This window comes from Homo sapiens, chromosome X, assembly GCF_000001405.40.
Source record: "Homo sapiens chromosome X, GRCh38.p14 Primary Assembly".
Classification (NCBI taxonomy): Eukaryota; Metazoa; Chordata; class Mammalia; order Primates; family Hominidae; genus Homo; species Homo sapiens.
Window position 1 is genome coordinate 119818776 of NC_000023.11, and position 13634 is coordinate 119832409.

The 13634-nt window shown below is 45.2% G+C and overlaps 1 protein-coding gene and 1 pseudogene across 5 annotated transcripts in view, besides 1 other annotated feature; both read right to left on the reverse strand.

Moving 5' to 3' along the window:
* UPF3B (UPF3B regulator of nonsense mediated mRNA decay) overlaps positions 1 to 13634 on the reverse strand; it is a 47653-nt gene that overhangs the window by 13465 nt on the left and 20554 nt on the right. For 4 of the 5 annotated variants that reach the window (XM_017029738.2, XM_047442375.1, XM_017029739.2 and 1 more), the window contains 2 exons: positions 12775 to 12984; positions 4167 to 4268 (listed from right to left, as the gene is read on the reverse strand). In XM_017029738.2, the coding sequence (XP_016885227.1) occupies positions 4167 to 4268; positions 12775 to 12984 (312 nt within the window). The remainder of the gene's footprint in view (positions 1 to 4166; positions 4269 to 12774; positions 12985 to 13634) is intronic. The other variant, XM_017029740.2, reaches the window with a different exon arrangement.
* Positions 3090 to 4270, reverse strand: LOC100422368 (UPF3B, regulator of nonsense mediated mRNA decay pseudogene; annotated as a pseudogene).
* Positions 7939 to 8038: an enhancer, noted in NCBI's record as "active region_29900". NCBI's record gives its function as "activates an Ori minimal core promoter by ATAC-STARR-seq in GM12878 lymphoblastoid cells {active_cell/tissue: GM12878}" and the evidence as "EXISTENCE:reporter gene assay evidence [ECO:0000049][PMID:35858748]".

Consider the following 13634-nt stretch of genomic DNA (forward strand, 5'->3'; position numbering starts at 1 on the left):
TTATGCCATGGAATGTCAAAAGCCGCAATTACGTTGGCACCAACCAATAGATCATGAAGCATCTATTGGGAAAGTGTAACGGGAGGTGATACGTGGCTTTCCCAGTATGACTCTGAAGACAAAGCAATATCAAAGCAATGACTCTGAAGAGGTGGAAGAGATCCAGTCAAAGCAAAACTGGACTGGCCAAGAGCAAAGGTCATGGCAATAGTTTTTTGAGCTGCTTGAGCAACTCTCCTTATTGACTTTCTGGAGGGCCGAAGAATAGTAACACCAGCTTTTTTTTTTTTTTTTTTGAGACCAAATCTCACTCTGTCACCCAGGCTGGACTGCAGTGGTGCAATCTCGGCTCACTGCAACCTCTGCCTCCCAGGTTCAAGCTGTTCTCCTGCCTCAGCCTCCTGAGTAGCTGGGATTACAGGCACGCACCACCACGCCTGGCTAATTTTTGTATTTTTAGTAGAAACGAGGTTTCACCATGTTGGTCAGGCTTGTCTCGAACTGCTGACCTCGTGATCCTCCCATCTCGGCCTCCCAGAGTGCTGGGATTACAGGCATGAGCCACCGTGCCCGGCCAACACCTGCTTATTATAAGAGTGTTTTGAGAAGGCCAAAGCTTTAGCAGCAAAATGCCCAGGAAAGCTTCACCAGAGAGTCCTTTTCTACCACGGTAATGCTTCTGCTCGTGCCTCTCATCAAACAAGGGCAATTTTGAGAGTTTCAATGGGAAACCATTAGGCATCCACCTTACAGTCGGGATTTAGCTTCTTCTGTCACTTTTTTGTTTCCTAATTTTAAAAAGTCTGTAAAGGGCAACCATTTCTCTTCAGTTAATAATGTAAAAAAGATTTCATTGATGTGGTTAAATTCCAAGGACCTCCACTTCTTAGGGGATGGATGAAATGACTAGTATGTAATTGTTGTGAGCAAGAGACATACATACATACATAAATGGCTAGTTATCATTGCTTATGAAAGTGTCTTGACCTTGGTGGATCTTACGATGAGAAGTTTATATTTTTTTCTTTTATTTCTATTTTCCACAAACTTTTCTTTTCTATTTTTCCTTTTTTTTTTTTTTTTTTTTGAGATGGAGTCTGGCTCTGTCGCCCAGGCAGGAGTGCAGTGGCACGACCTTGGCTCACTGCAATCTCCGCCTCTTGGGTTCAAACGATTCTCTAGCCTCAGCCTCCCGACTAACTGGGATTACAGGAGCCCGCCACTGTGCCTGGCTAATTTTTGTATTTTTAGTAGAGACTGGGTTTCACCATGTTGGCCAGGTTTGTCTTGAATCCCTAACCTCAGGTGAAGTGCCCGCCTTGGCCTCCCAAAGTGCTGGGACTACAGGCATGTGCCACCTCAATCCCCTGCCTTTTTGTTGTGGGGAGGATGGAGTCTCCCTCTGTCGCTCAGGCAGGAGTGCAGTGGTGAGATCTAGGCTCACTACAACCTCTGCCTCCCGAGTTGAAGTGATTCTCCTGTCTGAGCCTCCTGAGAAGTTTGGACTACAGGTGTGCTCCACCAAGCCCGGCCAAATTTTTTTTTTGTATTTTTTGGTAGAGATGGGGTTTTACCATGTTGGCCAGGCTGGTCTCAAACTCCTGACCTCAGGTGATCCACCTACCTCAGCCTCCCAAAGTGCTGGGATTACAGGCATGTGCCACCAAGCCCGGCCTTTTTTTGGGTGTGGTGGTGAGGGGGGCAGATGGAGTCTAACTCTGTTGCTCAGGCAGGAGTGCAGGATTGAGATCTCTGCTCACTGGAACCTCTGCCACTCAAGTTCAAGTGATTCTCCTGCCTGAGCCTCCCGAGGAGTTTGGACTACAGGTGCGCTCCACCAAGCCTGGCCAATTTTTTTTTTTTTGTATTTTTTGGTAGAGATGGAGTTTCACCATGTTGGCCAGGCTGGTCTCGAACTCCTGACCTCAGGTGATCCAACCGCCTCAGCCTCCCAAAGTGCTGGGATTACAGGCATGAGCCACTGCCCCTGGCTTCTGTTCTTTTAAAAATCCATATAAAGCTGGACACGGTGGCTCATGCGTATAATCCCAGCACTTTTCGAGGCTACAGTGGACAGATTGTTTGAGCCCAGGCATCTGGCAAACAGATGCCATGTTAGGAAGGGCTGGCAGGATGAATGAAAATCAGGCAAAAGCTCAAGGATGTTGTCTAAACATTTTGTTCTTATGGGACCAGAACAGTTGATGTAGTTTTGAAATTTGTCCCCACCCAAATCTCATGGAAATATAATCCCCAGTGTTGTAGGTGGGGCCTGGTGGGGTATTGGGGTTATGGGGCGGATCCCTCATGGCTTGGTGCTGTCCTCTCCATAGTGAGTTCTTACAGATCAGGTTGTTGTAAAGTGTGGCACCTCCTTCCCACACTCACTCTCTTGCTCACTCTGTGATGTGACATGCCTGCTCCTGCTTCACTTTCCGCCATGAGTAAAAGGTCCCTGAGGCCTCCCAGAAGCTGAGCAATGTCAGATGCCATGCTTGTACAGCCTGCAGAACTGTGAACCAGTTAAACCTCTTTTCTTATAAACTACCCAGTCTCAGGCATTTATTTATAGCAATGCAAGAACGGCCTAATACAGGAGTGAACCATGAACTGATCTTTCTCTGGTGGACAAAACAAAGGCAATGCCTGTGAAGGCAGAAACTAACATTATTCATCTGCTTTTGATACTTCCAAGAGGCTAATACAGTATAAAAAATTTAATTTCTCAAAACTCACAGCTGGCTGGGCGTGGTGGCTCACGCCTGTAATCCCAGCACTTTGGGAGGCTGAGGCCGGTGGATCACGAGGTCAGGAGTTCAAGACCAGCCTGGCCAAGATGGTGAGACCCCCATCTCTACTAAAAATACAAAAAATTAACCAGGCGCGGTGGCAGGTGCCTGTAGTCCCAGCTACTCAGGAGGCTGAGGAAGGAGAATAATTTGAACCCGGAGGGTGGAGGTTGCAGTGAGCCGAGATTGTGCCACTGCACTCCAGCCTGGGTGACAGAGTGAAACTCTGTCTCAAAAAAAAAACAAAAAAAACAAAAAAAACCTCACAGCTGTTTACTAAAGTTACTCACCACACTTAGCTTCATACTTGACTGCTGTTACTATGTATTGACATCAGAACAAAACAAACTGAAACTAAAAGTTGATATGTAACAACAACAGACATTGGTGCAGTTTCCTTCCTGGAGAGGGTAGGCACCAGATCATGAGACCTGAGATAAAACAAACTAGATTGTCAAGAATCCAACAAGGACTACATTTTACCTCTTAATAGAAAAAATGCTGGAGACAAAACGAGATGTTTAAAAATATTCTTCATGCTAAGCTTATGTAAGCAAATAAAAAAACAAAAGTAACCCTAAAATGTTAGGACATTGGATACAGAAGTAACATGACTATTTAAATGTTTGCATCAATGAAAGTTTGTTCTATCCTTCCCTGTACTTATAGACAAGGACATGCTTGTTGCTTCTACACTACCCAAAGTCAACAGTTATCATTAGCAATGCAATAGAAATAGATGGGAATAAAGCTTCAAAGCGACTCTGCTCCACCAAAATTTAGAAATTCAATTCAGGATGAACAACAGCTTTTGATTTTAAAACCAGCTCTTACTTTTCTCTCGTGTCACACGTGATGAAGTCCTCACTTGACATTTCCCCTGCAAATTGCAATGCATGTCCTCGCCATCAGCATTTTCTGACACTTTAATTTATAGAAATTGCAAAAACAATAAAATTGTACTTCCAATTCTGAACCTCCGACCAGATTCCTTCTTTGAGACAAAACTTACTCTTCTGCTGCGTACTCCTCTCCTCTTTATTTTTTTTTAATTTTTTTGGAGATAGAGCCTCCCTAGTGTCACCCAGGCTAGAGTGCAGTGGCACGATCATGGCTTACTGCAACCTCCACCTCCTGAGTTTAATCAATTCTCCTGCCTCAGCCTCTCGAGTACCTGGGACTACAGGCGCCTGCCACCAAGCCCGGCTAATTTTTGTAGTTTTAGTAGAGACTGGGTTTCACCATGTTGGCCAGGCTGGTCTCAAAGTCCTGACCTCAGGTGATCCACCCATATCGGCCTCCCAAAATGCTGGGATTACAGGCATGAGCCACCACGCCCGGCCTCTCCTCTTCTTTTCTATGGCTAATACCACTTTCCTGCTTTCTTTCTACTGCTGAATCTCCAGACTTGTCATCAGGGTGCCAGAGTCGACCTCGGCCTCGAGCTCCTCGATGGTAACACTGCATCCATGGACAGTCCTGAAGTACAATGAAATATGTTACTGTTACAACAATGCTACTAAGCTTTTACATGAGATTTTTAGGTTATACCTTATATATTAATATATACTAAAGCCCAGTCATTTAAGACCAAATATATGAGGGCATGGTAAATGACAACTTGCCCACTTCCTCTCTCCATCTCCAAAGAAAAGCAACCATTTCCTAATTATTATTTTTTATGTCTGGTTAAATTTATTTTCTTTGGAGACAGGGTCTCACTGTGTCAGCCAGGCTGCAGTGCAAGTGGCATGATCCAGCTTCGACATTCCAGACTGAAGGAATCCTACCACCTCAGCTCCCTAGTAGCTGGGATCGCAGGCCCGTGCTACCACATTGGGTTTTTAAATTTTAGCAGAGACGGGGTTGCCCTATGTTGCCCAGGCTGTTCTAGAACTCCTGAAGTTAAATGATCCTCCTACCTTGGCCTCCCAAATGCTAGGGTTACCTGCAGGAGCCATCACGCCTGGCCCATTTCTTTTCTTTTTTTCCTCTTTTTTTTTTTTTTTTTTTGTCTGAGACAGAGTCTTGCTCTGTTGCCCAGACTGGAGTACAGTGGTGTGATCTCGGCTCACTGCAACTTCTGCCTCCCCAGTTCAAGCGATTCTCCTGCCTCAGTCTCCCAAGTAGCTGGGACTACAGGCATGCGCCACCATGCCCGGCTAATTTTTGTATTTTTAGTTGGGACAGGGTTTTACCATGTTTTTCAGGCTGATCTCACACTCCTGACCTCAAGTGATCTGCTCGCATTGACCTCCCAAAGTGCTGGGATTATAGGCATGAGCCACCAACACTGGCCCCAGGCTTGTCTTGAACTCCTGGCCTCAAAGTGATCCTCTTGCCTTGGCTTCCCAAAGTGCTAGGATTACAAGCATGAGCTATGGTGCCTGGCCTATAGTTATTAAGGATGTGAAATTATGCTTTATGAGGAAGTGGTCCTCACCCCCACTGCCTACAACACAAGAAAGGAGAGGAAGGGAGCAAACTAGAAGAAGAAAGATGGTATTGGGGGAAAGGATATCAATTAAAGATGGATTTTAAAAATTGCTTCGCAGGAGGGAGGGCCCTCCTGTGGTTTCACTGGTTGATCTGGCTGAGGGATTTTCTCCAGCGACACTTGCAGCTTAGGGGCAAGAGGCTCCCACAACACCCTGTGCTACCTCGACCCTTCTGACATTGTGCATCATGATCTGATTATTGCTATTTGCCTCTTGCCAATATTGAACCATGAGTTCAACACAGACAAGGACTTATTTTAATCCTTGACCCCAGGGCCGGGCACACAGTCAGTGATTGGTACATGTTTGCTAAATGAATGAGCAAATGGAAGAAATTGAAGAGGGTGGGGTGGGGACGTGTGGTTTATCCAGAGCTGGACAGGCAAGGCAAGTAGAACAGAAGAGGGAGGTGCTGACGTGAAAACGGCCTTGAGATGGCTGGCAACAGGCTAGACAAAGAGGCAAGGGATGTCAACTCATGCCTGGTGGTTCAGGAGAATTGCTTCTCTTAAGGCCAACTCCTCTAACCTCTACCTTGGCTTCCATTTACACCTGCCTTTGCAAGAAGCCTACAGTATTTGTTGTCTCTTTCTCGTGGGTGTTCATCCTTCTAGAGCTTTCCTTTTGGCTTCTAAACATACTTTCTTATATTTAAAATAATGCTTCATTAACACCATTAACCTATGTATCTCCATTTCTTTCTTTTTTTTTTTTTTTTTTTTGAGATGGAGTCTTGCTCTGTCGCCCAGGCTGAAGTGCAATAGCATGATCTCTGCTCACTGCAACCGCCGCCTCCTGGGTTCCAGCAATTCTCCTGCCTCAGCCTCTCGAGTAGCTGGGACTACAGGTGTGCACCACCATGCCCGGCTAATTTTTCTATTTTTGGTAGAGACGGGGTTTCACCATGTTGGCCGTTCTGGTCTCAAACTCCTGACCTCAGGTGATCCACCGGCCTTGGCTTCCCAAAGTGCTAGGATTACAGGTGTGAGTCACTGCGCCCAGCCGTATCTCCATTTCTTTCACAGCTGTATTAGTCCGTTTTCACACTGGTAGAAAGAAATACCCGAGTGTGGGTAATTTATAAAGAAAAGAGGTTTAATTGACTCACAGTTCCACATGGCTGGGGGAGCCTCAGGAAACTTACAATCATGGCAGAAGGGAAAGCGGGCATGTCTTACATGGCAGCAGACTAGAGGTGAAGTGCGAACATAGGAAAAACTGCCTTGTATAAAACCATCAGATCTTGTGAGACTTACTATCACAAGATCAGCATGTGGGAGACTGCCCCCATAATCCAAGTTCCTCCCTAGACACATGAGGATTACAATTCAAGATGAGATTTGGGTGGGTATACACAGCCAAACTATATCAACAGCCATATCAGAAGTCTTAAAAAGTCCATGGAAATTGTGTATTATGAAAAACTATGCATGGATTTCAAAATCTTTTTGCACCAAAATAAACTGGTACTAATTCATTATAAAATATCTCAACAGGATCTAGTTTGAGGCATTAAAAAAGGAGAAGTCATCAGTTTGAAAAGAGCCCCTATCAGAACAAAATGAATTCTGCTAAAATTGAAGCAAGAACAAACATCAAATTTAGGGTGAAGCTTGGGTGGAAGAATGGTAAAATCACTGATGCTTTACCAAAAGTTTATGGGGACAATGCACCTAAAAAAATCAGCAGTTTACAAATGGATAACTTGTAACAAGGGAAAAGATGACGTTAAAGATGAAGGCTGCAGCAGCAGGACATCCACATCAATTTGCAAGGAAAGAAATTAATCCTCTTTGTGCCCTAACTGAAGAGTCAGCCAGGTGTGGTGGCTCATGCCTGTAATACCAGCACTCTGGGAGGTCAAGGCAAGTGGATCACTTGAGGTCCAGAGTTTGAGACCAGCTTGGCCAACCTGGTGAAATCCATTCTCTACTAAAAAAATACAAAAATTAGCCATTCATGGTGGCGCACGCCTATAGTCCCAGCTACTCGGGAGGCTGAGGCAGGAGAATCGCTTGTGCCCGGGAGGCGGAGCTTGCAGTGAGCCGAGATCGTGCCACTGCACTCCAGCCTGGGTAACAGAGTGAGACTCTGTCTCAAAAAAAGAAAAGGACCAACGATTAACAGCAGAAACACGGCCAGATGCGGTGGCTCATGCCTGTATTCCCAGCACTTTGGGAGGTCTAGGTGGGTGGAAAAACTGAGGTCAGGAGTTTGAGACCGGCCTCGCCAACATGGTGAAACCCTGTCTCTACTGAAAATACAAAAACTAGCCGGGCCTGGTGGTGCGTGCCTATAATCCCAGGTACTAGGGGAGGCTGAGGCAGGAGAATAGCTTGAACCCAGGAGGCAGAGGTTGCAGTGAGTCGAGATTGCCCCACTGCACTCCAGCCTGGGCGACAGGGCGAGTCCACGTCTCAAAAAGAAAAAAAATAAACAGCAGAAACAACAGCCAACACCGACATCTCTATTGGTTCAGCTTACACAATTCTGACTGAAAAATTAAAAGTTGAGCAAACTTTCCACTTGATGGCTGCCAAAACCAGATCAGCTGCAGACAAGAACAGAGATTTCAATGGAAATTGTAAACAAGTGGGATCTATTAGGTTGCTGCAAAATTAATTATTGTTTTTGCCATTGAAAGGAATGTCAAAAACAGCAATGACTTTTGCTCCAACCAATAGATCATGAAGCATCTACTGGGAAAGTGTAACAGGAAGTGATACGTGGCTTTCCCAGTATGACTCTGAAGACAAAGCACTATCAAAACAATGACTCCAAAGAGGTGAAAGTGATCCAGTCAAAGCGAAATGGACTGGCCAAGAGCAAAGGTCATGGCAATAGCTTTTTGAGCTGCTTGAGGAATTTTACTTGTTGACTTTCTGGAGGACCAGAAAATAATAACATCTGCTTATTATGAGAGTGTCTTGAGAAAGTTAGCTAACTCTTTAGCAGAAAAATGCGCAGGAAAGTTTCACCAGAGAGTCCTTTTCTACCACGGCAATGCTCCTGCTTATGCCTCTCATCAAACAAGAGCAATTTTGAGAGTTTCCATGGAAAACCATTAGGCATCTACCTCACAGTCAGGATTTAGTACCCTCTGACTTCTTTTTGTTTCCTAATCTTAAAAAATCTGTAAAGGGCAACCATTTCTCTTCAGTAAATAATGTAAAAAAGATCTCATTGATGTGGTTAAATTACCACGATCTCCAATTCCTTGGGGATGGATGAAATGGCTAGTATCTAGGTGCTGCGAGCAAGAGACAAAAATAAATAAATATATAAATAAATGGCTAGTATCACTGCTTACAAAGTGTCTTGACCTTGGTGGAGCTTATGAGAAATATATATATATACACACAAACACGCACCCATATATATATATTTTCGAGACGGACTCTCTGTTGCCTAGGCTGGAGTGCAGTGGCTGGGTTCAAGCGATTCTCCTGCCTCAGCCTCCTGAGTAGCTGGGACTACAGGTGCACCACCACGCCCAGCTAATTTTTGTATTTTTAATAGAGACAGGGTTTCACCATGTTGGCCAGGATAGTCTCGGTCTTTTGACCTCGTGATCTGCATGCCTCGGCCTCCCAAAGTGCTGGGATTGTAGGCGCGAGCTACCGCGCCCAGCCTTTTATTTCTACTTTCCACACACTCTTGGGTTTTTTTTCCTCTTCTTTATTTTTTTGAGATGGAGTCTCACAGTGTCACCCAGGCTGGAGTGCAGCAGTGCGATCTGAGCTCACTGCAACCTTTGCCTCCGGGTTCAAGCAATTCTCCCACCTCAGCCTCCCGAGTAGCTGGGATTACAGGCACCCACCATCATGCTCGGCTAATTTTATTTTTTTATATTTGTAGAGATGAGGTTTCACCATGTTGGCCAAGTTGGTCTGGAACTCCTGACCTCAGATGATCCGCCTGCCTCGGCCTCCCAAAGTTCTGGTGTTACAGGTGTGACGCCGTGCCCGACCTTTTTTTTTTTTCTTTTTTCAGGTTTTCTTCTTTTTTCGAGCCGGAGTCTCGCTCTGTTGCCCAGACTAGAGTGCAGTGGCTCAATATTGGTTCACTGCAACTTCTGCCTCACAGGTTCAAGCGGTTCTCCTGACTCAGCCTTCCATGTAATTGGAGCTGGAAGGAAAGGCACATGCCACCATGCCTCGCTAAATTTTTTTTGTATTGTTTAGTAGAGACCAGGTTTCACCACGTTGGCCAGGCTGGTCTTGAACTCCTGACCTCAGGTGATCCACCTGCCTTGGCCTCCCAAAGTGCTGGGATTACAGGCGTGAGCCATCACGCCTGGCCCCTGTTCTTTTGAAAATCCATATGAGGCTGGGCACAGTGGCTCATGCCTGTAATCTCAGCACTTTGGGAGGCTAAGGTGGGCAGATTGCTTGATCCCAGGAGTTTGAGACCAGCCTGGGCAACATGGGAAAACCGTATCTCTACAAAAAATACAAAAAGTAGCTGAGTGTGGTGTCACATGCCTGTAACCTCAGCTACTCAAGAAGCTGTGGTGGGAGAATCAACTGAGCCCAGAATATCAAGGCTGCAGTGAGCCGCGACTGTGCCACTGCACTCCAGCTTGGGTGACAGAGGGAGTCTTTACTTAAAAAAAAAAAAAAAAAATCTCCTTATAGGAACTTACTGCACATCATGATTCATTCTTTCTTTTTTTGAGACAGAGTTTTGCTCTTGTCACCTGGGCTAGAGTGCAGTGGTGCCATCTCGGCTCACTGCAACCTCTGCCTCCTGGGTTCAAGCGATTCTCCTGCTTCAGCCTCCCGAGTAGCTGGAATTACAGGCGCCAACCACCACACCCAGCTAATTTTTGTATTTTTAGTAGAGACGGGGTTTCACCATGTTGGCCATGCTGGTTTTGAACTCCTGACCTCAGGTGATACATCCACCTCTGCCTCCAAAAGTGCTGGGATTACAGGCGTGAGCCACCATGCCTAGCCAATTCTTTCTTTTTTTTCTGAGATGGAGTCTCACTCTGTCTCCCAGGCTGGAGTGCAGTGGCACAATCTCGGCTTACTGCAATGTCCGCCTCCCCGGTTCAAGCGATTCTTCTGCCTCAGCCTCCTGAGTAGCTGGGACTACAGGCGTGCGCCATCATGCCTGGCTAATTTTTGTATTTTTAGTAGAGATGGGCTTTCACCATATTGGCCAGGCTGGTCTCAAACTCCTGACCTCGTGATCTGCCCGCCTTGGCCTCCCAAAGTGCTGAATTACAGGCGTCAGCCACCCTGCCTGGTGATTCTTTCTTATAATTATACTTTGATATGTTAAGGATAATGTGAAGGAGGCCTCAAAGTAGAACTAAGGGTCCACAGACTTTTGAAGTTCCCTTGTACTTCTCTAAAAAGTTGTATATATTGTTTCCTTCCTCAACCCAATCTGGCTTCCCTGTCCCATAATTGTAGGTCATCAATGATTTGCAAGTCACTGAATGCCATGGCCTTTGTCAGGCATCATACTTGACCATTCAGCAGCATCCAACCCTGCTGGCCACTCCTCTTCCTTGAAACTTTTCTCTTGGATTAAGTAACCCAGAGTCTTCTGGTTTTTCTCCTATTCTCTGGCTAGTCCTTCTCTGTCTTTGTAGATACATTTCCTTACCTCTATGTAATGTTAGGGTTATTCAAGGCTGGGCCCTAGGTCTGCTTCTGTTCTTTTCTCTCTCCCTAAAGTGACAGAATCCATGGTCATGACTTCAATGGACCCCTAAAAATGGATGAATTCCAAATCCATACATCCATTTCCCACCTGCCATTCACCCCTCACTGTAACATGGTTTGTCTCTTTTAGGTCATCAGTTTCATTAGTTCACTAATGAAATCACGACTGCCAAATCCAATGAACACTTCCATTTCTTGTCTTCCTTAATCTGTGGCATGGGACAATGTCAGCCAATCTCCTTCTTGAAATTTTCCCTTCCTTTAATCCTGTCGCCCAGCTGACAATCATTCACTTTCAATCATTATTGGTGGCTCTTCTACATGCCTCTTGGGCTACTTGTTTCTAAAAGCTGAGGAAACATAAAGTTATTTAGAAAGTAAAGGCAAAGTGATGCCATGTTAGGAAGGGCTGGCAGAATGAATGAAAATCAGGCAAAAGCTCAAGGATGTTGTCTAAACATTTTGTTCTTAAGGGACCAGAATAGTTGATGTGGTTTGGATATTTGTCCCCACCCAAATCTCATGGAAATATAATCCCCAGTGTTGTAGGTGGGGCCTGGTGGGGTGTTGGGGTTATGGGGCAGATCCTTCATGGCTTGGTGCTGTCCTCTCCATAGTGAGTTCTTACAGAGCTGGTTGCTGTAAAGTGTGGCACCTCCTCCCCGCACTCACTCTCTTGCTCACTCTGTGATGTGGGATGCCTGCTCCTGCTTCACCTTCCACCATGAGTAAAAGCTCCCTGAGGCCTCCTAGAAGCTGAGCGATGTCAGATGCTATGCTTGTACAGCCTGCAGAACTGTGACCCAATTAAACCTCTTTTCTTATAAACTAACAACTCTTAGGCATTTCTTTATAGCAATGCAAGAATGGCCTAACATAGTAGTGAACCATGAATTGATCTTTCCCTGGTGGAAAAAACCAAGGTAAGCTAGTGAAGGCAGAAAGTAATATCATTCCTCTCCTTTCAATACTTCCAAGAGATGAATTCAGTACTGTGTCTCAAAAAAAAAAAAAAAGAAATAAAAAATAAATATTTGCATCAATGAAAGTTTGTTCTATCCTTCCCTGTACTTGTACTATGAGGACATGCTTTTTGCTTCTACACTACACAAAGTCAACAGTTACCAACAACAATGCAATAGAACAAGATCGGAACAAGACTTCAAAGACACTCTACTCCACCCAAATTAAGAAAATTCAATTCAGGATGAACAACAGCTTTTGATTTTAGAACCAGCTTTTACTTTTCTCTCATGTCATATGTGATGAAGTCCTCATTTGACATTTCCCTCCTGCAAACTGCAATGCATGTCCTCACCATCAGCTTTTTCTGACACTAAAATTAATTTGTAGAAATTGCAAAAATGATGAAATTGTACTTCCAATTCGGAACCTCTGATCAGATTCCTGCTTTGACATAAAACTTACTCCTCTGCCGTGTACCCCACGAGCAGAGCGACCCCCTTTCTATTCTTTTGCCCTGAAGGCACTTTTGGATGGCTTACCATGTGCCCTTTGGCTGCCTAGACAGTCAGGACACCTAAGGCCATCAGGACTTATCACACACCTCTCCTCCTCCTTTTTTTGTTTTTTTTTTTTGAGATTGAGTCTCACTTTGTTGCTCAGGCTGGAGTGCAATGGCACAATCTCTGCTCACTGCAACCTCTGCCTCCTAGGTTCAAGCAATTCTGCTGCAGCCTCCCAAGTAGCTGGGACTACAGGCACCTGCCCCGACACCCGACAGATTTTTGTATTTTTAGTAGAGACTGAGTTTCACCATGTTGGCCAGGCTGGTCTCGAAGTCCTGACCTCATGCGATCTGCCCGCCTCAGCCTCCCAAAGTGCTGGGATTACAGGTGTGCGCCACCACGCCTGGCCTCCTCCTTCTTTTCTACAGCTAATACTACTTTCCTGCTTTTCTTCTACTGGTGAGTATCTATAGTTGGTGCTGTCATCAGGAAAATAGTGTTGATAGTGGCTTTGAACTCCTGGATGGTAAGACTGCATCCCTGGACGACCCTGAAGTACAATGAAATATGTTACTGTTACAACAATGCTACTAAGCTTTTACATGGGATTTTCTTTATCATAAGTTATATATTAATATATCCTAAAGCCCAGTCATTTAAGACCATAAATATGAGGGCACAGTAAATGACAACTTCTCTACTTCCTCTCTCCATCTCCAACGAAAAGCAACCATTTTGTAATTATTATTTTATAAGCCTGGGTAAATTTCTTTTACAGGATCTGTGTCACCCAGGCTGAAGTGCAAGTAGCACAATTGCGGCTCACTGCAGCCTTGACATTCCAGATACAGGCGATCCTCCCATCTCAGCTCCCTAGCAGCTGGGATTGCAGGCACACTCTCCCACACTGGGCTAAGTTTTTAAATTTTTAGTAGAGATGGGGTCTCCCTATGTTGCCCAGGCTGGTCTTAAATTCCTGAAGTTAAGTGATCCTCTTGCCTTGGCCTTCTAAATGCTAGGATTACCTGTATGAGCCATCACACCTGGCCCATTTCATTCCTTTTTTTGAGACGGAGTCTCACTCTGTTGCCCAGGCTGGATTGCAGTGGCATGATCTTGGCTCACTGCAATCTCTGCCTCCCAGGTTCAAGCAATTCTCCTGCCTCAGCCTCCAGAGTAGCTGGGATTACAGGTGCCCAC